The 20,961-nt window shown below is 36.4% G+C and overlaps 2 protein-coding genes across 4 annotated transcripts in view; one reads left to right on the forward strand and one right to left on the reverse strand.

Annotated features, from left to right (window-relative positions):
* STAP1 (signal transducing adaptor family member 1) overlaps positions 1 to 4,328 on the forward strand; it is a 48,611-nt gene extending 44,283 nt beyond the window's left edge. Inside the window, exons 9-10 of one of the 2 annotated variants that reach the window (NM_001317769.2) lie at positions 3,287 to 3,380; positions 4,185 to 4,328. In NM_001317769.2, the coding sequence (NP_001304698.1) occupies positions 3,287 to 3,348 (62 nt within the window). In that variant the 3' untranslated portion in view covers positions 3,349 to 3,380; positions 4,185 to 4,328. Of the gene's footprint in view, positions 1 to 3,286 lie in introns of both variants that reach the window. The other variant, NM_012108.4, reaches the window with a different exon arrangement.
* UBA6 (ubiquitin like modifier activating enzyme 6) overlaps positions 9,643 to 20,961 on the reverse strand; it is an 88,504-nt gene continuing 77,185 nt past the window's right edge. Inside the window, exons 31-33 of one of the 2 annotated variants that reach the window (NM_018227.6) lie at positions 20,126 to 20,213; positions 19,822 to 19,916; positions 9,643 to 16,123 (exon numbers count right to left, since the gene is read on the reverse strand). In NM_018227.6, coding sequence (NP_060697.4) covers positions 15,988 to 16,123; positions 19,822 to 19,916; positions 20,126 to 20,213 — 319 coding nt within the window. In that variant the 3' untranslated portion in view covers positions 9,643 to 15,987. The remainder of the gene's footprint in view (positions 16,124 to 19,821; positions 19,917 to 20,125; positions 20,214 to 20,961) is intronic. The other variant, XM_017008359.3, reaches the window with a different exon arrangement.

The following is a 20,961-nucleotide window of genomic DNA, read 5'->3' on the forward strand; positions in this document are numbered from 1 at the left end:
TGCCATCCAGGAGCCAGGGCCTGGAGTTAGGAACCTCAGCAATCTATTTGGTGCTCTATTCTACTGCAGCTGAGCTGGCACCCAAGGTGTAAGGCAAAGCCCTTCCCATTCATTCCTCAGGCAGGAGTTTCTCCCCATGACTACCACCACCCTAGTCCTGTGGCAAGTACTGCCCGGCTACCACTGATGTTCACTCAAGGCCCAAGGGCTCTTCAATCAGTTTGTGGTGAATACTGCCAGGCCTGGGTCTCTCCATTTAGGGTAAGGGGCGCCCCTCTGACCCAAGGTGGGTCCAGAAATGCCATCCAGGAACCAAGGTCTAGAATTGGGAACCACAAGGCCCTGCTTGGTGTTCTACCCCACTGTGGCCAAACTGGTTCCCAAGCTGCAAGACAAAGTCTCCTTTACTCTTCCCTTTCCTTTCCTTAAGCAAAAGTCTCTCCCTATGGCCACCACAGCTAGGAATGTGCTGGGTCATACCTGAAGCCAGCACAGCTCTGGGTCTCAACCCAAGGCCCACAGCAAGTACTGCTTGGCTACTGTTGATGTTTATTCAAGGCTCAAGCATGCTTTAGTCAGTAGGTGATGAATACTGCCAGGACTGAGTCCTTCCCTTCAAAGCAGTAGATTCCCTTCTGGCCCAGGGCGTGTCTAGAAATGCCCAGAAGCTAGGGCCTGAAATGGAGGCCTCATGACTCTGCCTGATGCCCTGTTCTACTGTGGGTGAGCTGCTTTCCAACTGAGTTGCTTTCCAAGTTTATGCTCCCCTCTTCTCTACTCAAGCAGAAAGGAGGAGTCTTTCCTGGAGTTGTGCTGCCTGAGATTGGGGGAGGGGTGCCACAAGCACTCCCCTGGTCACCCCAGCTGGTGTCTCACTAGGTCATGTGCACTACATGTCCACTGGCTCCAAGCCCAGCACAGCACAGGACTTGCCCAGGACCCTCAGTGTTTGTGGCCTAAACTGCCTTTCAAATTTATTTCGAACCCTAGATCACTTTAGCCTGTGGTGTTGAGACTAGTCAGAGCTCAGATTCTGCCCACTGGGATGGATGATTTCTCTCTGGCAAGAGCTGGTCTAAATGCTCCCTTCTGTGGTCCTGGCTGAATTCTGCCCTGTGTTGCTTTCTACTGTGACAAGTAGCACTGAGTTACAATGCAAAGTGCCACAGTCACTGTCTACTTCTTTTCCTAAGCACACAGATTCTCTCTCTGCACGAGCAGCCACTGCTGGGAGATGGGGGAAGAGACCAGGTTGGCAATTCAAGACTATTTTTCCTACCCTCTTCAGTGTCTCTTTCCTTGCTATGATGTTAAAACCAAGTACTGTAATTGCTCACCGGATTTTTGGTTCTTATTAAGGTGCTTTCTAGTGTAGACAGTTGTTTAATTTGGTGTTCCTGTGGTGGTGGGGGCTGATAGCTGGAGGGTTCTATTTGGCCATCTTGCTCCACCTCCTCTCTCCATTGGGTTTTTATAGCTTTTCTTTGTTGAGAACATCTATCTTTATATTCATTTCAAGAATGTTTATGACCACCTCATGAAGCATAGCTGCTTTAAGGTCTTCATCTGATAATTTCAACATCTTGGTTATCTTAGTGTTGGCATCCATTGTCTTTTCCCTTGAAAACTGGGGAATTGGTCAAATTCCTTCTTTTGTATATCAAGTAATTCCTGGTTTTTCATATATCAAGTAATTCTGAATTGTGTCTTGGACATTTTGAATATTATGTTGTGAGCCTCTGGGTCCTGTTAAAATTCTCTGGTGCATTTTTTAAAAGCAGGCAACCATCTTGATTAGATTGAACCAGTTCTCTCTTACTTTCTGTGGGAAGCCATTCCAATATTGGTTCAGTTTTCAAAGCTTCTGTTATGCTGTTTTGGGTCTGTATTCAGCCTGGGACTTGGTTGTGGTTTATGCCTTAGTTTAGCTGTCAACGCCTTTGCCATCTGTTTTGTATCTGGTTCTGTGCATGCACAATTCAGAGGTGAGCCTGGAATTTGTGTCACTTCATACACAGAACTAGGAAATAACTCTTTTCCAGCTGTCACCTCTCTGGGATTTCTCCATACTCTCGAGCCGCCAAGGGTCCTTTTTCCTGGTGTTCTAGCTAGAATGATGGAGCTTATTAATGACACCTGTGCTGTAATTGCAGTTCTGTGAGACTGCAGTTGCCCAATCTCTCCAAGAAAGTTAGAGATAAGAAAGAGAAAAATGTAATTCCAATTCTCCCCTCTGCCCACCTTTCCTGATTTCTCTGGCTGGAAGGCTAAATTTTCTCTTGGGGTTTTAGGTGCCCATGCTGTCACTGCCAAAGTACTGCACCTTGACTAGGGGCCCCACCCTCAGGGCAGGGCCAGGGAAGAAAAAATAGACAATACAAAAAAAAAAAAAAAGCACCTTAAGGATTTTAGAAACAGACAACCAGATTGCTATTGGTATATGACTGAATGTGTTCAGTTTGCTTTGTGGTCGGGAACAAACTACTCAGCCTCCCCCTGCATTTCAGATGCCTTTGTTATAGGGACTGGGGAATGACATAAGAACAGATGGAATTAGAGGGTCCTGTGAAGAAAGACTTTAAATAATTAGAATATTATCTGTAGTGTAACGTATTTTCTTTCAAAAGCAGAAAAATGATGGAAAAGTACATGACAATGAAAATAGGACTTTTTAAGAAAAGCTACACAAAGATAAAAACTTATCTTGACAAATAATGCTGATATTTTAAGAAAACTTTGTGGAACCCTAACATTGCTTCAGGAATTTGGACTCATAGCTGGCTGTGGCACAGTGAGACTGCTAGTACATCAAACTTGGGAAATGGGAGTTGTAGAGCAGGTAAGGGTTCCAATCTGGAGATTTGGAAAAAGCTAATATGTAATAAAATATTATCTAAAAGAAAATAAGATTTTTTTGATCCCTGTTAACCCATGTCAGCATTTGGCTCTCTCTTACACCAGAAGACAAGAGCAATAATGGAACAAGAATGGTCAAAGATATTTCCCAACTCCAGAAATTAGCAGTTTAAACTAAAAGCCGCTTCAAAATATAAGGCCTATTAAGCTAAAGAGGAAGAAAAAAATTATTAGGTACAAAGTTACAGGTCCAGGATAAAATAAAATTTAAAAAAGCATCTGAATATTCAGTATTTATTTTCCTAACAATTACTAAACACACCAGCAATGTTCCACACACGAGCAGGAAAATCAACTCACTGAAAATAAAGAACCACCGTTTTCTACAATATTGGTTCGCTAATTAAGTTTTTCTACCCACAATTTCTAGGTCAAGAACCCAGTATGGAAGGGAGAAGTGAAAAGTTGAAGAAAAATCCACACATTGCATGAAATACAATGTGAAAGCTCCTTTGTATATCTTGGTAATTTATATTTTCAAAACGAAGTTCTTACTTTTAAAGAGAATTACCTATATTCTCCTGATACTGATTACCAAGTCATTCACCTGAACACCAGAATTAGAATTAAACATTGTACCATACAATTTCATTATCTTATCAGAATGAAACCAATTCACAGGGAAACTAGAGACTACGGCTGTGGTGGTAACCTGCAGATATACACATTCCCATGCACTGACATAAGTTGAAAACACATAGTACTTTCTAGATGGAATTTTTTTCTTTAGGCCTCAATGAAATACATTTCCCCTATATAATTCCAACAGCAGTTTCTCTAGTTCTAAATTTTACCAATTCCCAAAAAACCTAAGTTTTGCTGAAATCTGATTTGACCAATTTATCAAATATGTCATTTTAATTACCTAGCTGGAAGTTAGAGACATGAAATGTACTAGAGGAGCCCTTTTCCAATGGAAATATTATATACCACATTTTTTGTTAATGGAAATAAATGTCTTCATTCCCATGTTTTTCCCTGGTGTCATCTTTTTGCCACTCAAAATCAGCCCATTATTTCCTTACAAAGATGGTGAAAGGCTGTATCATCATCTTGTCGTAAGTACGATGAGCCTGATTATAAGTACCTGGAGTTCTTAAAAATATGGAACCATCAGCCCCAGACTGCATCTACTGAATCAAAATAACAGGGATATTTTTTCATAATTTTTTTCTTCAAAAGCAAACTTCTAAATTGATTTTGATGGTTATCAATTTGGGAATCACACAATCAACTAAGAATGAAAAGATATGGTCTATATTCTACAGGGGAAAGACTATGTGAGACAGAGGGAGAAAACAGCCATTGACAACTCAAGGAGAGAGGCCTCGGGGGGAAAAAAAGATCAACCTGGCCAAAACCTTGAAAATCCGGCTTCTTGACTTGTGAGAAAATAAATTTGTGTTCCTTAATCCACATGGTCTGTGGTATTTGTAATGACAATCCTACCGAACTAATTCAGTGAGCTTCCTGGGATGCCTGAAAATATGAAGAGTTCTCTCAGACTTACTGAATTATAATTTTGGGGGTGGGGGGGCGGCGCTGAGGCTGGTCCAGAAATCTGCCTTTTAAGCATACAACACAGGTAATTGCTATACATAACAAATTTGAGAACCAGTTCTTTAAGATCTACTATAATATGAAGATAAATAATCTGTGTAGCAATATATGCAAAATCAAGTCAGGCTTTCTTTTAAATGGAGAGGCAGTGACAATTAATAAGGAATCATAAATATGACAAATGAAAACATTGAGAAATGCTTTTCTCTATGTCATTTTGATCTTTTAATTTCTGGAGTGTGAAAATACTTTATTAAATTTCAAATGAGATTGTATTTTAGTTTAAACCTGACAAAAAAGTGTATAATAAATATGACCCAATGTTTACTTTTTGTCTAAAAAAAAAATTGGGACATAAAGCCTGAGCATTAATGTTAAGTATTTATTGAAATGTATTGAGTATTTATATAAATCACTGTTAATGTAAAAATTATAAAAGCAGCACATATGTATTATTCTCAAGGGTTTTACAATTGAGTTGGTCAAAATATAGGTAGATGAGACTAAAGAGCTCTAATTTCTTATCATTTCAAAGTGTTGAGTGAATTCTTGCATTCTATAAGAAATTAGAGTGCTTAATATAAAAAACTTTTAAAAAGTAGATTCCTAAAGTCGGTGACACATTGTAGTTGAATGCAATAAATGGAAAAGTAACCGACAAGAGAAACAGAAATCAAAGCCCAGGGCCTTGCCAATGTGGAGAGTCTCACAGGAGACCGACAATACATTTAGCTGGAAGAAACAACAGAAACAGGGCCACAGACATTTCAGAAACTGAAAGCAGCAAAGATCGTAAAACAGCCCTCATAGTTTCAAGAACAGACATATTAGAAAATATCTGTAGGGAATAAACAACTATAAAAGTGATCTAGCAGGTTTAAAAAAGAGAACCAAACAGAACTTTTAGGACTGAAAAATAAAACCACCACCACCACCACCACCACAACAAAATAGATGGCTGTAAGTAGACAAGAAACACATGAAGAGGTAAGTAAACTGGAATATGGGTTAAAATAAATTATACAGAATAAAGCATGACAAGAAAGAACAATTGAAAAATATAGAAGAGAGGGTGTTAAAAACTGAAGACAGAACACTGAAGGTCTATCACGTTTAATGAGAATCTCCATAGAAGAAAAGATAATGAGGAAGAGGTTATATGTGAAGTAGTATTTGAGAACTTCTCCAGAACTAGTAATCAAAGACACAAATCCAGATTTAAAGATCTCAACAAATCTTAAGCAGGATTAGTAAAAATAAATCCATACTCAGAAACATATTAATTGCATAAAACCAAAGCAGATAAAAAAAGAGATTTTTTTTTTTTTGAGACAGAGTTTCGCTCTTGTTGCCCAGGCTGGAGTGCAATGGTGCGATCTCGGCTCACTGCAACCTCTGCCTCCTGGGTTCAAGTGATTCTCCTGCCTTAGCCTTCCGAGTAGCTGGGATTACAGGTGCCTGCCAAAATGCCCAGCTAATTTTGTATTTTTAGTAGAGATGGGGTTTCTCCAAGTTGGTCATGCTGGTCACGAACTCCCGACCTCAAGTGATCCACCCAGCTTGGCCTCCCAAAGTGTTCGGATTACAGGCGTGAGCCACTGCTCCTGGCCAAAAAATAAATTTCTTTAAAGGTGTAAGTGTTAGGCTGACAGCTGACTCAAGAACAACAGAGGAAGTCATGAGAAAATGAAAAAATATCTCCAATGCCAATGTGCTGAAAGATAATAAAGGCCAAATTAGGCATCTATATTCAGCAAAAATATCTTTACAGAATGAGGAAAAAATACAGATATGTTCAGAAAACAAATCATGAGCAAGTATGCCACCAGCAGACTCTCACAAAATGAAATTCTAAAGCAAGTATTTCAGATAAAAATTTATCCCAGATGGTGTTTTAGTCCATTCAGGCCACAGTAACAAGACATGATAAACTGGCTTATAGGTGACAAAAATTTATTTTTAGGGGTTGGGAAGTCCCAGATTAAGGCACTGGTACATGCAGTGTCTCGTGAGGGTCCACATGCCGGCTCAAGGATGGCACCTTCTTGCTGTGTCCTAATATGGTAGGGGTGAGAGATCTCCAGCCTCTTTTATAAGGGCTCTGCCCCCATGACCTAATCACCCCTCAAAGGCCCCATCTCCAAATTACATCACCTTGAAGATCAGAATTTCAACACATAAATTTTGGGAAGACATAAACGTTCAGCCCATAGGAGTAAGTCTTAGATACAAAAAATAATGAAAAGCAAAGAAAGTTTTATATATATGTGTATGTATAAACACAAACACTGACTATATAAAGTCTTAGAATTAAAGAACATTAAAGTACATGACAACAGAATTAAAACACACAATACAGATAAAATATATGACAATAGTACATAACTTGGAAATTGAAGAGTTGTTCTAGTTATTATATCTGCACAATAAATAACTCTAAAACTTAGTTGCATAAACAATCCATGTTCATGGAGTCGGTAGGTTAGGGGTTTGGCATGGCACACCACAGAACAGTACCAATGGCTTGTTTCTGCTCTGTGAAATCTAGGGCCTGGAATCATTTGAAAGTCTGCCTACTCACATGTCTGACCACCTGATGCTGCCTGCAGGCTGGTAGCATGAGATTTTCTCCATGTGTGCTAGTTTGAGCTTCCTCACAACATGGCGTCTAGGTTCCAAAGGTGAGCTTTCCAAGAGAGCAAGTAAAAGAGTGAGAGAGAGCCAAAAGGAAGCCAGCTATATATCCTTTTATGACCTGACCTCAGGGGTCTTAATGGGGACTACAGTGTAGTAAGCTTCTAGAAGAGTATGTGGGATTGAAAATATTGCTGTAGCCATTTTTGAAAAATAAAATCTGCCAAAAGGTAAAGGTAATGATTAACTTTAGTCTTATATAATCTGAATATGTATGATGGAATATAATTACTAAAAGACAAACTAGTAAAGAGAAAAAATGTGTATTGCTCAAGGAAAACAAACATCATTTATTTTAAGAAAGAATTTAACAAGGAATTAGTAAACAGGTTTTGAGAAAAGTGAAAATGTCCACTAGGGACACAAATAAAGGCAAAAAGATGGGATTAATAGAGCCTAGAAGCCTTTAAGAGATACCCTCCAGAATGCCAGAGAAAAGTTGGAGTCTGGAAACAAACCACAGCTGCTAAAACAAGAGCCATTGCTGAGGTGATACTGACAATATTGGGAGGCTAATGGGAAGGGGAAAGTCTCTTCTCCATATCTTCAGCATTCTAGTCTCTTAGTACTCTTTCTTTGCAGGACCTAAAAACAAGCCAGATGGCAAAGGAGAAGCACAGTTTGCAAAAAGTGCTAGGCACAAAGTCCCAGAATACAGATAAGTGAGTCTAGAGTTGAGAGACAATCAATAACTGGCAAAAACAGAATAATATAGTAAGTCAATACTAATTTTAAAAGGCAAGAAAACAGAAAAAGAATCACAAAATAGGTTAGACCAAAAAAACCCCAAAAACAAAAACCCTAAACTCTCCCAGAACAAACTAAAATGGCAGAAACAAATCTAAATATATTGGTAATTATATTAAATGTAAATGGCACAAGTGTTCCAGTTTAAGACAAAGATTATTCTATTAGATTAAAAATAATAACGGCCAGGTGCGGTGGTGCACGTCTGTAGTCCCAGGTACTTAGGGAGCTGAGGCAGGAGGACCACTTGAGCCACTGCACTTTGACCTGGGCAACATAAGAGGACCTCTGGATCTAAAAATAAACAAAACAAAAAACTCCACTAAAATCCTAAATCTATTTTGTTTACCAGATACACATTTAAAACATAAAGATACAGAAATATTAAAATTAAATAGATGAAAGAAGTTACTCTGTGAAAATACTGACTAAAGGAAGGCTAGTATAGCTACAGAGAAAACAGACTTTAAGGCAAAACATATTACTGATACACTGCATAGCGATATAATTCATCAGAAAAATGTAACATGTTAAACTACATGCAGTCAATAATTATTCTCAAAATATATAAACCAGAAACATATACAAGGAGAAAGAGGCAAATCAAGATCATATTGGGTGATTTTTTAACATACTTCTTTCAGTAATTGACATAATACGTATATTAAAAATCAGTAAGGATATAGATTTAAATAACACAATTAACAACCCTAAAAGATACATTAGATGGCTTGTTTTTAGATCCCACAAATAACGAGTACTAGGAGACTAGAATGCTGAAGATATGGAGAAGAGACTTTTCCCCTTCCCACTCTCCCTAATTACTACAGAATATACTGGTTTCAAATGCATAAACATTGTTTAAAAATTTATCATATTCTTGGCCATAAAGCAAGTCTCAAGTAATTTCAAATAATTAAAATCAGATTTTTTTATGACAAAAATTCAATTAAACTGCAAATCAAAAAACATAATTAGAAAAGCCCATGTTTGGAAAAAAAGAAACACTCTCCTAAAAAAGGATTAAAGAGAAAATTCCAATGAAAATTAGGAAAATATTTTAACTAAATATGACCATTATATATCAAAATTTGTGGAATATGACTATAATAGTTGAGTAAATGTGACTATATTACAATAGTATAGAGATAACTTTTAAATGTGTATGTTGAAAAGGAGGACAAGTTAAAAATGAAAGAAGTAACCCATCTCAACAAGTTAGAAACAGAATAGTGAAAAAATCCCTAATAAAATAGAATAATATTGATAAAGGCAGAAATTAATGGAATAGGAAACAAACATACTATAGAAAGGATCAACAAAACCAAAATTTGGATCTTAGAAAAGATTAAACTATTTTTGTTTGGAGTTAAAGTTATGTAGAAAATTTTAAGAAATGGGCCGGGTGCAGTGGCTCACGCCTATAATCCCAGTACTTTGGGAGGCCGAGGTGGGCGGATCATGAGGTCAGGAGTTCAAAACCAGCCTGGCCAACGTAGTGCAACCCCGTCTCTACTAAAACTACAAAAATTAGCCGAGTGTTGTGGTGGGCGCCTGTAGTCCCAGCTACTTGGGAGGCTGAGGCAGGAGAATTGCTTGAACCCAGGAGGTGGAGGTTGCAGTGAGCTGAGATTATGCCACTGCACCAGCCTCAGTGACACGACGAGACTCTGTCTCAAAAAAACAAAACAAAAAAAAAGAAAATTTAAAAAAATGTGCAAATAGTTTAGAGAATCACTACAGAGTTTATTGTTTCCAGGTACAAAAACAATACAAATAAACCAACTGTATTTTACACATAATCAACAGGAAATAATGTGGGCTAAGTAATTTGGATTAACATTCTCACTTGAAAACATTTAGAAAAGCTGGATAAAATATACTTTTCAAAGATGTAGGAAGGCAGCAGGGAGCTGATAAGTTGGTGAATAATTACCATGCCAATAATATCTGAGAAAAGATAGAAATTCAGAAAAATGAACCATTCATTTGGGACCACTGTGTTAGGAGTATTTATAGATTGCAAAAGGCCACTGGGAAGTTGAGTAGATAGAGCTAAGGGGCTAAAGATTCAAAAAGAGTCCAGGGTCAGTGAAGAGGTAAGGGCCTGGTAACTCCAAACCATGCTTTGAAACCCTGAATGGTTGAACCCTAGAAATAAGGATGAACAGAAGAGCATTACCACAGTCTGTGGCTCAGCTTTCAGTCACCTAGGTGACCTGGAAAATTTCAGTATCTGAAACTGGATCAAAATAATCCTAAATTACTAATGCAGGTACCTGCCAGAAGCAAAAAACTCTGTGGAGGATAAAAATATCATTCTGAGCATCAAGTTATTTCTAGTTTTTTCAAACAATATTGGTAAATAATTAAAGGTAACCAGGCACACAAGGAGACAAGACAGTAAGAATGAAGACTAGAACAAACAAAATAAAAACAGACCCACAGGCGGGTTTTGATTCTGGAATTATTAGACAGACTAGAAAATAATTATGCTTTTCATTTTGAAGCAGATAAGAAATTGAAAATTTCAGCAAGACAATTAGAAACTGCAGGAGTGACAAATTTACATGCTTTCAATTAGAAATATGAGAACTGAAAATACAAGGGGCTGAGAATAACCAAGATACTCTAAAAGAACAATAAGTTGGGAGGATTTGTTTGGCCAGATATCAAGAATATATCAGCTACAATGATGATGATGATGGTATACTAGCACAGGGATAGAAAAAAGGGAAAAAATGTTTAGAAAGAGATGTAAGGACTAAGCTCTGATATTTTGTTATCTTGCCCAAATTCCTGTCTAAGGAGTCTGGGGAGTCATGCTCTACAAACCATAAATTCTCATCAGATGGGTTTTATTTAACCCTGTATATTGTGACTTAACTTTCCAATCTGACTCTGGCATAACAAGAAAGAAAATCAAAATATTTTACCCCGAAATATGTTTCTCTGCCATATCTTGAAATGGCCCTGCAAAGCCATCCCTTGTGGGAAAAATCTACATTCTATAAAGAATCCCCTTTCCCCTTTACCCATTTTTTTTTTGTCCTTCCTTCCTTTCCAAATCCAGGAGATAATCAACTAAGACCCAGGCATCCTTTTAGGTCCAATAAGAAACACTTTACAACCTGCTCTCTTTGAAGTCTGCTGAGAGTTTCCTCTGCACAATAAAACTTGTTCTCCACAATCTCTTATTTAACCTGAATATTTCCTTCCTATTGATCCCAGGTCTTCAGATAAACTCGACCAATTGTCAACCAGAAAATGTTTTAAATTAACCTATACCCTGGAAGCCCCCGCTTTGAGTTGTCCTGCCTTTCTGAACCAAACCAATGCATTTCTTAAACGTATTTGATGTCTCATGCCTTCTATATAAAACCAAGATGTACTCTGACCACCTGGGGCACATGTTCTCTGGACCTCCTGAGGGCTGGGTCACAGGCCATGGTCACTCATATTTGGCTCAGAATAATCTCTGAAAATATTTACAGAGTTTGACTCTTTTCATCAACAGATGTTGATGAAATCTGTATTCACATACGGGTATAATACATGACTTTGGTGGCACTATAGAAAGGAGGAATAAAACCCAGATTTTTCAATAAACGGTAGTGAGGCATCTCCTAGCATACACCAAATTAATTCCTCATGAAAAAAATTTAAATATGAAAGGCAAAACTAAAGCTTTAAGAAGACGATATATAAGACTATCTTCATGACTCCAGGGTAGGGAATGGTTTTTTAAAACAACTCACGCTCTAATTTTAAAACACTCATACTTCCTAGTACTTAACCATTAATAAATTGTTTTTATCAAAGAACATCATAAGGGAGGGAAAGGCAAGCCACAAATTGGGAGAAGATATTGGCAACTATACAGCCAACAAAGAATAAGATTTATAAAGATCCTTTATGAATCAATGAGGAAAAAGATTAGCAACACAACAAAAACGTGTGGCAGTCCTGACAAGATACTTTACAAAAACAGAAAGTCAAATTGGCCAATAAACTTATGAAAAAATACTCAACTTCACAGGTAATAGAGAAATGCAGAGTGACACTTCAATGAGATACAATTGCACATCCACCAGATTGGCAAAATTAAAAACAAAAACTGTTAACACCAGCACTGACCAAGATATGGAGAAATATGGTTTGGATATTTGTCCCCTGCAAATATCATGTTGAAATGTGATCCCCAGTGTTGGAGGTGAGGGCTGGTGGGAGGTGTTCGGGTTATGGGGATGGATATCTGGATCCCTCATAAATGGCTTGGTGCCCTCGTTGAGATGACGAGTTCTTGCTCCATGAGTTAATGTGAGATCTGATTCTTAAAAATGATCTGGGACTTCCTCTATTTCTCTCTTGCTCCTCTAGCCATGTGATACGCCAGTTCCTCCTTTGCCTTCTGCCATGATTGCAGGGATGCTGGTGCAATGTTTGTACAACCTGCTGAACCATGAGCCAAATAAACCTTTTTTCTTTATGAATTACCGAGTCTTGGATATTCCTTTATAGCAACACAAAACCAACCAACATACTAATGCTTAGAAAAAAATTTGTAATCATCTAATAAAATTTAAGATATGAATACCCTATGACCAAAAAATTCTACTCCTAAATATATACTCTTTGTACTAGGAGTTACATAAAATGATGTTCATTGTGAAACTGTAATTGCCTGAAACTAAAAACATCCCAATTGTCTACAGTAAATAAATTGTGGCATATTAACAGAAAAGTAAATTACACAGACATAATGAAGAATAAAGTACAGCTACAACCAACATGAATCAATCCCATCTTGAACAAATGCAGCTACAAAAGAATGTATGATTTTAAATAAAACTCAAAAACAAGCAAACTGTATTGTTTAAGTTTACACACATAGGTGGTAACACTATAAAAACAAAGAGACAATTATCATACAAGGTAGGATAGTGGTAATTACCAAAGGGTACGTGGCAGGGAGCTGGTTGTGACTGGGAAGGAACTACATGTGTAATTTCTGAACTGCTGTCAATATATTCTACTAAGCTGAGTGCTAGTTATATAGTTGCTTTAAAATTATTCCTTGAACTGCATATTTATATTTTATGTATTTTTGAATATATATGTGTTTTTGAAAAATATATATTTCTCAATAAAAAAACAAAGTTATGACATAGAGCAAAATGAACACATATTATCAATGGATACTTAACTCTGATCCTCAAGAGCTCAACTCTGATTTTTTTTTTTTCAGAGAAAGCATTCAGATTATATGTTTTTGAATCTATGAAAAGTAAAATCGCTAAATCCATACACAGTGATTATATAAAATTAGATATTTGCAATCACAATGAATATTCATTATAGTGGAAAGATTTAGGTCACGAGATTTTTTTTTTCCCTAAAAATTTCAAAAGAACAATTTTCTATCTTCATTTTACTAATTATAAAATAAACATAGTTGCTTTTTTAATGTTCCATGAATATCACCAGAGTGTGACATAGTAGATTAAAAAATAAAGATATACATTTATTTCCATGTCCTACCTTTGGGACAATTTATGAGGAACTTATGGACAAGTAACAGAACTGCTTTGAACTCTAAAAAGAAATGGACTTTACAAATCCCTAACCAGTAGTATGGGATTTACCAGATCCTCTAGGTTTTACATGGTCACGACTATTTCTCTCCAACTGTTTTAAAAGAATTTCCTGGAGCCATCTGAGGACATTTGAGGTAATGTCCTTCCACACCTAATAACTGCTGTATCTCCATGATTGCAAACTTGAAAATCAGGAAACACCAAAGCAACATTACTCACAAAATAAACAGCAAAATCAGAATCTCTGGAGTCAACTTATGAAACATGATTTACAAAGATATTCTTACATTTCTTAATTTATTTTTAATAAGTAAAAAATACTCATTGAAACTGTACAAAAATCAAATCATTAATTTTTGCACCTGGTATTTCAGTCATCAACAGCAATCTCATGGTACAGAAATAAAATAATGGGAATTATCATTAACTTCACCCTGGCTTTCTAGCTTAGTAGAACCAAACAGAAGAAATCATGGCAATAACCATTAACTATAGAAAAAAAGTAATGGAAAAATGGTTGCAGGTTTAATCACAAAATGAACTTAATTTTTGTTGATTTTGTTTTATCTGCTAAAACACTAATATCTATAAATATGAACTGACAGCATCGTTCTAAATTTACTTCTGAAGAGCTGTCGAGACTTCAATAAAATATAAGCAAGTTACTGGATCATATTTATGGACTGCTGAATTAACTACCCGAAAAGTATCAGTTACTTTCAAAGAACACAAAACAAAGTGAACGTGGAAAAAAGCCTTCTTTGCAAAAGTCCTTTTATTAGTCCTATCCTCTAAAATTCCAAGCCACAGAGCCTTGATATTCCTGGATTCTGTTTTAAGTAACCTTAGTTTTAAATATGACACTTGGGATATGCACAATGGGAAAGGGTAGGATATGTGAACAAAATTTAATTTCTTTTTTCCAAAGGTAGTCATTTTCTTTAAATTCATCCTATCCACTTTTGCCCACTTCCCCATGTACAGATTATCCTTTAGTCATACAAATTCACTCTCCACTTCCACATACATTTTCCCCACTTGATGGTACTTTTACAAGAGGGAAACAATACAGCTGGTTGATAAAGTAATTTAAACTATTTGTAAATGAAATAAAAAGAAAGTAGGTATAATACATAGTGTAAAAGATACCAAATTGGAGTAATATTGATGTTAATCTAGTTTTTTATTTAACAAAGTACCTACTAATGGTCTGAGCAGGAGAGTAGAAGGAAAGGAGCTAGAGGGAAATTACTTCCTATGGTTAAAAAAAAGCCAACTGCTTCAGAATGCATGACAGTCTTAGTAATAAAAGAATCATTTACTATTTTCACTGAGTTTACAGTGTTGGGTACTACTGTTTACATCATTTTAATGAAAGTATTTATAAAAACATCTGCAATAGTTCATATCAGAAAACAAAGTTTCTCTCAATAAAGACCTTAAAAAATAAATTTTTATCTTCATTAACTCCCTTTCTGGGAATGGGAATGAAATAACATGCTTCTGTTTAAAAAAAAAAAACAAAAAAAACACAAAATTTAATACCCTAATTAGGTTTCTGGAAAAAAAAAAGACTACCCTAGCAATAATTTTTAACATTCTACATTTCATCTATTTCTAAAGACACTCCCTTTACAAAATCTTTTAGTTTTATATATTAGGACAATCAGGTTTAGAGTCTCACATAAATAAAATAGCCACATTAGAAGGCATACTGAAGAATCAAATGGTTAGCCACATTTGTCTGTTCACATTCACGGATTCTCTAAGAGCGTTGTGAGAGTCCATATAATACTGTTCACGTTTAGTCTAAGTTAATATGTCTCATCTGACCTATTGCTCCTACAACACTGATGCTATCAACAAAAATCCTGATTTTGGGGACACAGTGATATAACAAACTGGTTAAACGAGCAGAGGTAATAGGACAGTAAACTGTAACTGCACAATTTAAAATATCCACCCTTCATCCACCACTACCATACTTCTTCCCAGTGGTATTAAATTCTCAAAGCCAAATCATATCAGAGGTGCAGGATGCCAAACACTATTTGCATAGAAAATCAGTCTTCAAGACTAAACAAAAAAGAAATTCATAAAATTAAACTTTTTGAATAGTTGCATTCGTTGCTTTCAATTTCTTCATCCATATCTGTTCTGGTCATACATATTTTTTCCTTCTTTTTATCCAGAGAGATTAATACACAGATTAATACACAAAACTTTTGTAAATAGCATTCCAGTTCAAAGTTGCTTGTGATCATAGCCACGTGTGAACCGTTAGACAAGTGTATGCTATGCCCCAAAATGTTTTATAATTCTTCAGTGCAGTTTCTTACTGATGTTTCCCTTAAAATTAAGGCTTAATGAAAGAGAAATCCATAGTATTATGAACTGATTTTCTTTAGCTTCTGAATTAAGTGCACTCTTTCCAAAATCAAGTGGTCCTGGAGTAACGTTAAGACAACTTGTATTAATCAGTGTCATGACTGAAGTAGTATCTTACTGGAGGTCCCGGCAAATCTTCATCTCCATCAATGTCTGGAGCAAATGACACAGTAAGATCCACATATTTCTTTTCAGTAGTAGGTTTTACAAGTTTATGCATTCTAAGAAAAATAAGCAAGAATGAATACTTTGGTAAATTCTATAAAATGAAAAAATGATTTGCTGACTAATGCCATCCAGAGAACCTGGACTTGTATCTAGACTTTAACATCTAATAATAATCTGCTTTCACATATTCATTTTTCTTTACTAAAAGGTCTGAACTCATTTATACTCAAGACACTCATTTACCTAACAGTGAATAAATTTGGACACACTGGTCATGATAAAGAATACAAACCATTTATTAAAAGACAAAAAAAGGCTCAGCGTGGTGGCTCACGCCTGTAATCCCAGCACTTTGGGAGGCTGAGGCAGGCAGATCACCTCAGGTCAGGAGTTTGAGACCAGCCTGGCCCACATGGCGAAACCCCATCTCTGCTAAAAATACAAAAACGAGACGGGAACAGTGGCACATGCCCGTAATCCCAGCTACTCGGGAGGCTGAGGCAAGAGAATTGCTTGAACCTGGGAGACAGAGGTTGCAACGATTTTAAAAAATTGATTTTCCTCCTAAACTTCCTCTTAAGTTTGGAGGCATCATAAATTCAAGCATTTCTCTGTAAACAGTAAAAAAGCAAGCTAGAATTTAAACCTTAAAATGTAAGCTAGAAATACAAAGTAAAAGACATTCTTAGCTTTTTCCCTTATGTCCAATCTTTATCCTATTTACTGAAAAATCACTCTTTGCTATAGCCACTACTGCCTTAAATGAAGTCATCATCTACACACCCCTTACATCATTGTATTGGCTTCTAGCTAGCTTTCTCTAGTCTCTTTTCTACTTCCAATCTACACTGCTCCTAGAATTCTCTTAAAATATAAATTTGATGTATTCTCCTGCCTAATAATTTTATCATACACTGTGTACCTACTTCATGCCAGGCTCTGAACTATATCGATTTAATCCTCAGTAGCTCTTTCCATTTCACAAAGATATTTTGTCCCGTACATAAACTTTTCATTCTTTCCACCATTCATGATCATCACCTCATACTTGAGTCATTCCAAAAAAAAAGTGAATTCTAAATTCCCAAATTCAGAATTTAGTAGGAATTCTAAATACTACTCTTAATTTATCCAAGATACTTAGGTATCCTAATGAAAATCAATATAAGGCAAATTAATGCCTTAGCTAATATAACAGTAGCTTTACTTTTGTATGTATGCTCTTTTTAGCTGCAAAGACTGTTGCTTTTGCCTGGAATAATCCTTCTTCAAAGGTAGCTCAAATGAAATCTACCCTGAACTAGAGGTCTGAGTTAGCACAATACTCTGTAAAAATTTTCATTATCACAGTTATTCAATTATACTTTAATGATTAACATGACCAGAGGTGAGACCTAGCCAGGTCACTGTCTCAAGAGTTACAAGCAGAGGAAACAACTAAAGCAAAGGTCCTACAATGGAGCATCATTAGAGTGAGTATTCAAGGACAAATAAGTAGGCCAGTGTAGCTGGAATATTGTGAGGGCAAAGTAGGGAAGGAACTTAGAAGGATAACTAGGAATCAATTTCCTTTAATAGACTGTGAACTGCTTGAGGGCAGGGCTTGATGACCATGTATGATAACAAAATATTAACAGGACTAACATTTATGGAATACTTCTTACATGCCATTACACTATTAGCCCTTACTATTATTTCAGTGCTCAACTATGGGCACAGTCATCCCTATTTGTGGATTTGTAGCTTTTTGAAACTAAGTTTCAAAAGCTACTCAAGGTAACAAAACTAAGCAGCTGAGCAAGAATGTGAACCCAGGTCTTTCTAAAGCCAACCTCATGCTATTAATCATAATCCCACTGACTGACTTAATGTGTTCAGTACTTAACAGGTACTCAATAAATACTTGCTAAAAGGTCAATGTAATAAAATGAAAAATATTATCATGCTGGAGGTTTCAAATATTGGCCAAATCTTAAAAGCATTTTTAAATAACCTGCCGCAAATTTTAAACTCCACTAGTCAATACACTTTATGATCACGTACAGTCCACTGCAGCATAAAATAAAGGAATTCTAAACACTAGCCTTGCTTGATCCAAAAGATACTGAGGGATCCTAATGAAAAATAATATAAGGCAAATTAATGCCTTAGCTAATAAAATAGTAGTTTTACTTTTTAAGGTACAGATAATTCAGACTAGATCATAATTTAAGAATGATTAACCTCAACTGATTATCATAGTTAAAGCCAATAGATACGTTAAACACAACCATCATGCAGAGATTCATTTACTAGTCTGACAAATATTTGTTGGTAACCTTTTATTTGCCAGGTATTGATCTAAGTGCTTGAGATACAACAGTGACAAGATCAAATAAAGATTCCCACTCTTGTGAAATATATGTTCTAGTAGCAGGTAAATAGCTAATATACAGTACATGGGCCGGGCACAGTGGCTCACGCCTGTAATCCCAGCACTTTGGGAGGCTGAGGCGGGAGAAATCACCTTAGGTCAGGAGTTCAAGACCAGCCTGGCCAACATGGTGAAATCCGTCTCTACTAAAAATACAAAAATTAGCCAGGTGTGGTGTTGGGTGCCTGTCATCCCAGCTATACTCGGGAGGCTGAGGCAGGAGAATCGCTTGAACTCAGGAGGCAGAGGTTGCAGTGAGCTGAGATCGCGCCACTGCAATCCAGCCTAGGCGACACAGTGAGACTCCGTCTCAAAAACAAACAAACAATAAATATAAGCAAAATACACAGCAGCACAGCAGTCATAGGACAGTAATAAGTGCTCTGAAAAAAAGAAAAAGTAGAGAAGAGTAAAGGGGACTAGACATACTAGACTGGGGCTGAGGACAGGTTGCAGTATTAAATGAGGCCTCTTTAGGAAGTGCAAAGACCAGGGGTGAGACTTGGCCAGGTCACTGTCTCAGAGTTACAAGCAGAGGGAACAACTAAAGCAAAGGTCCCATGCTGGAGCATGATTAGAGTGAGTATTCAAGGACAAATAAGGAGGCCAGTGTAGCTGGAATATTGTGAAGGGAAAGTAAGGAAGGAACTTAGAAGGATAACTAGGAATCTAAATTTAGAGTCTTGCAGACCACGATAAAGACTTTAGCTTTCTTTGGTTCTTTCTTCCTTTCAGTCTCTGCTCAAATTCCACCTTAACAGGTGAGACTATGATAGGCAAAGGGAAAACCTAGACTACTCAGTATAATATAGCAACTCAACACCCCCAACTCCCCATATTTCCTTTTCTCTTTATTCTTCTTTAATTTCTCCATAATACTTACTATCACCTAACATACTTGCCTTATTGTTATGCAAACTCCTTAAGTAGGAAAGAACTTTGGTTTGCTAACTGCTATCTCCCTAATGACTAGAATAGTACCTGGCACACAGCTGGCACCTTAAACAATAATTTGTTGAATAAATGAACAAAAATAGTGATTTGGCAGTTAGATTACTCATAAGCCTGGTCATTAAGTGTCTCAACATAAGAGACGGATCCACTTTTACTTAAGTGTACTGGCCAAATCAGGTTTCTAAACCTATTAACTGAAGAGCTGAATCTCTCGAGAGGTAGCCTGTTGGCCTTCACCTGGCAGATTCACTGTCTTTATTAATGTCATTAGACAAGACTAATGCTTTTATCTGAATTATAGTAACCTCTATATTTAATTTTTTAGTGTGCATCAACTTACATTTAAATTCTTGTTAATCGCTGCATATAATGTTGAATACTTACGTTAACTTCAATCTTTTTGCATGACCAGGCATTACAGGAACATAAAGCATTTTGACTCCCTGTACCACCATTGTTGGCTCAATTCCATACTTCTCCTAAAAGTGAATATCCAAAAAAGAAACAATGAAAGCCTCGCTCAAACATAAAATGCTTATTTAACATTGTTCGTAAACAATGTTTTATGACCAGTAAAAAAAGCAAATTCATGGTAAATAATTATAACTTCCAATAAAATTATAAATAAAAACAAAACAGAAACCAGACATAAAGCTACTAATGAACTAAATGAACAAAAGTATCTCACTTTGACTGCATTTATGAAATCCAAGAGGGTGAAATCTTCTTTTCCATGTACGGTCCATCGATCCCAAATTGTAAATGATATTCCATTTCTGTTACAGAAAAATATTCAGAACAGAAACATTGAAATTTTCTTCCTTTTAGTGATGACACACACACAAAAAAAACCCACTTTCAGAAGTCCATTATTTGTGATCAGGCTAGAAATTAATGTGGGGAAATAAAGGATAATATATCTTCTAAAATATTCCATAATCTTATTTCTTCATCACATCATATAGATAACCACTTTTAATCAGTACCTTGCTGATCCTTCCAGTGTATTATAAATCAGTATGTTTTAGCAAGACAGTGTTGTCTCTCTCTTTTTAAAATGGGTTTCACTGTGTGGATGTTCCAGTACCCCATTACTGGACACTTCGGTTATTCTAATCATTGGCCACGATAAATAATGCCAGAATAATTATCTTGCAAATATATAGTTTGAGACTTGTGCAAATGTATCTGAAATATAGTGCTATATATCCCTTACTGTGGATTATAGTATTTTGTACTCTCATTAGTAATGTATGAGAGTGTCTGCTTTCTCACACCCTTGTTAAGGTAGGTTTTTTTTCAAGTTTTTGGTTGTTGCCAATCTGAAAACTAAAAAGTACAGGCCCAGGAATTGTTCTGCTTTGTCTCAAGCTTGTGGAATTCTTCTAAATCTCATGACCTACAGTCAGACACCAGGGTACCTTCTAATTCATCTGGCAGACACAGATGAAACCATAATGCCAAATAATGTGGCAGATAAAGTGCTGTAAGGGTTCTTTGGCTACTTTAGTCAGAAATATTTAA

The sequence above is a fragment of the Homo sapiens genome, chromosome 4, assembly GCF_000001405.40.
Source record: "Homo sapiens chromosome 4, GRCh38.p14 Primary Assembly".
In the NCBI taxonomy this organism is placed as follows: Eukaryota; Metazoa; Chordata; class Mammalia; order Primates; family Hominidae; genus Homo; species Homo sapiens.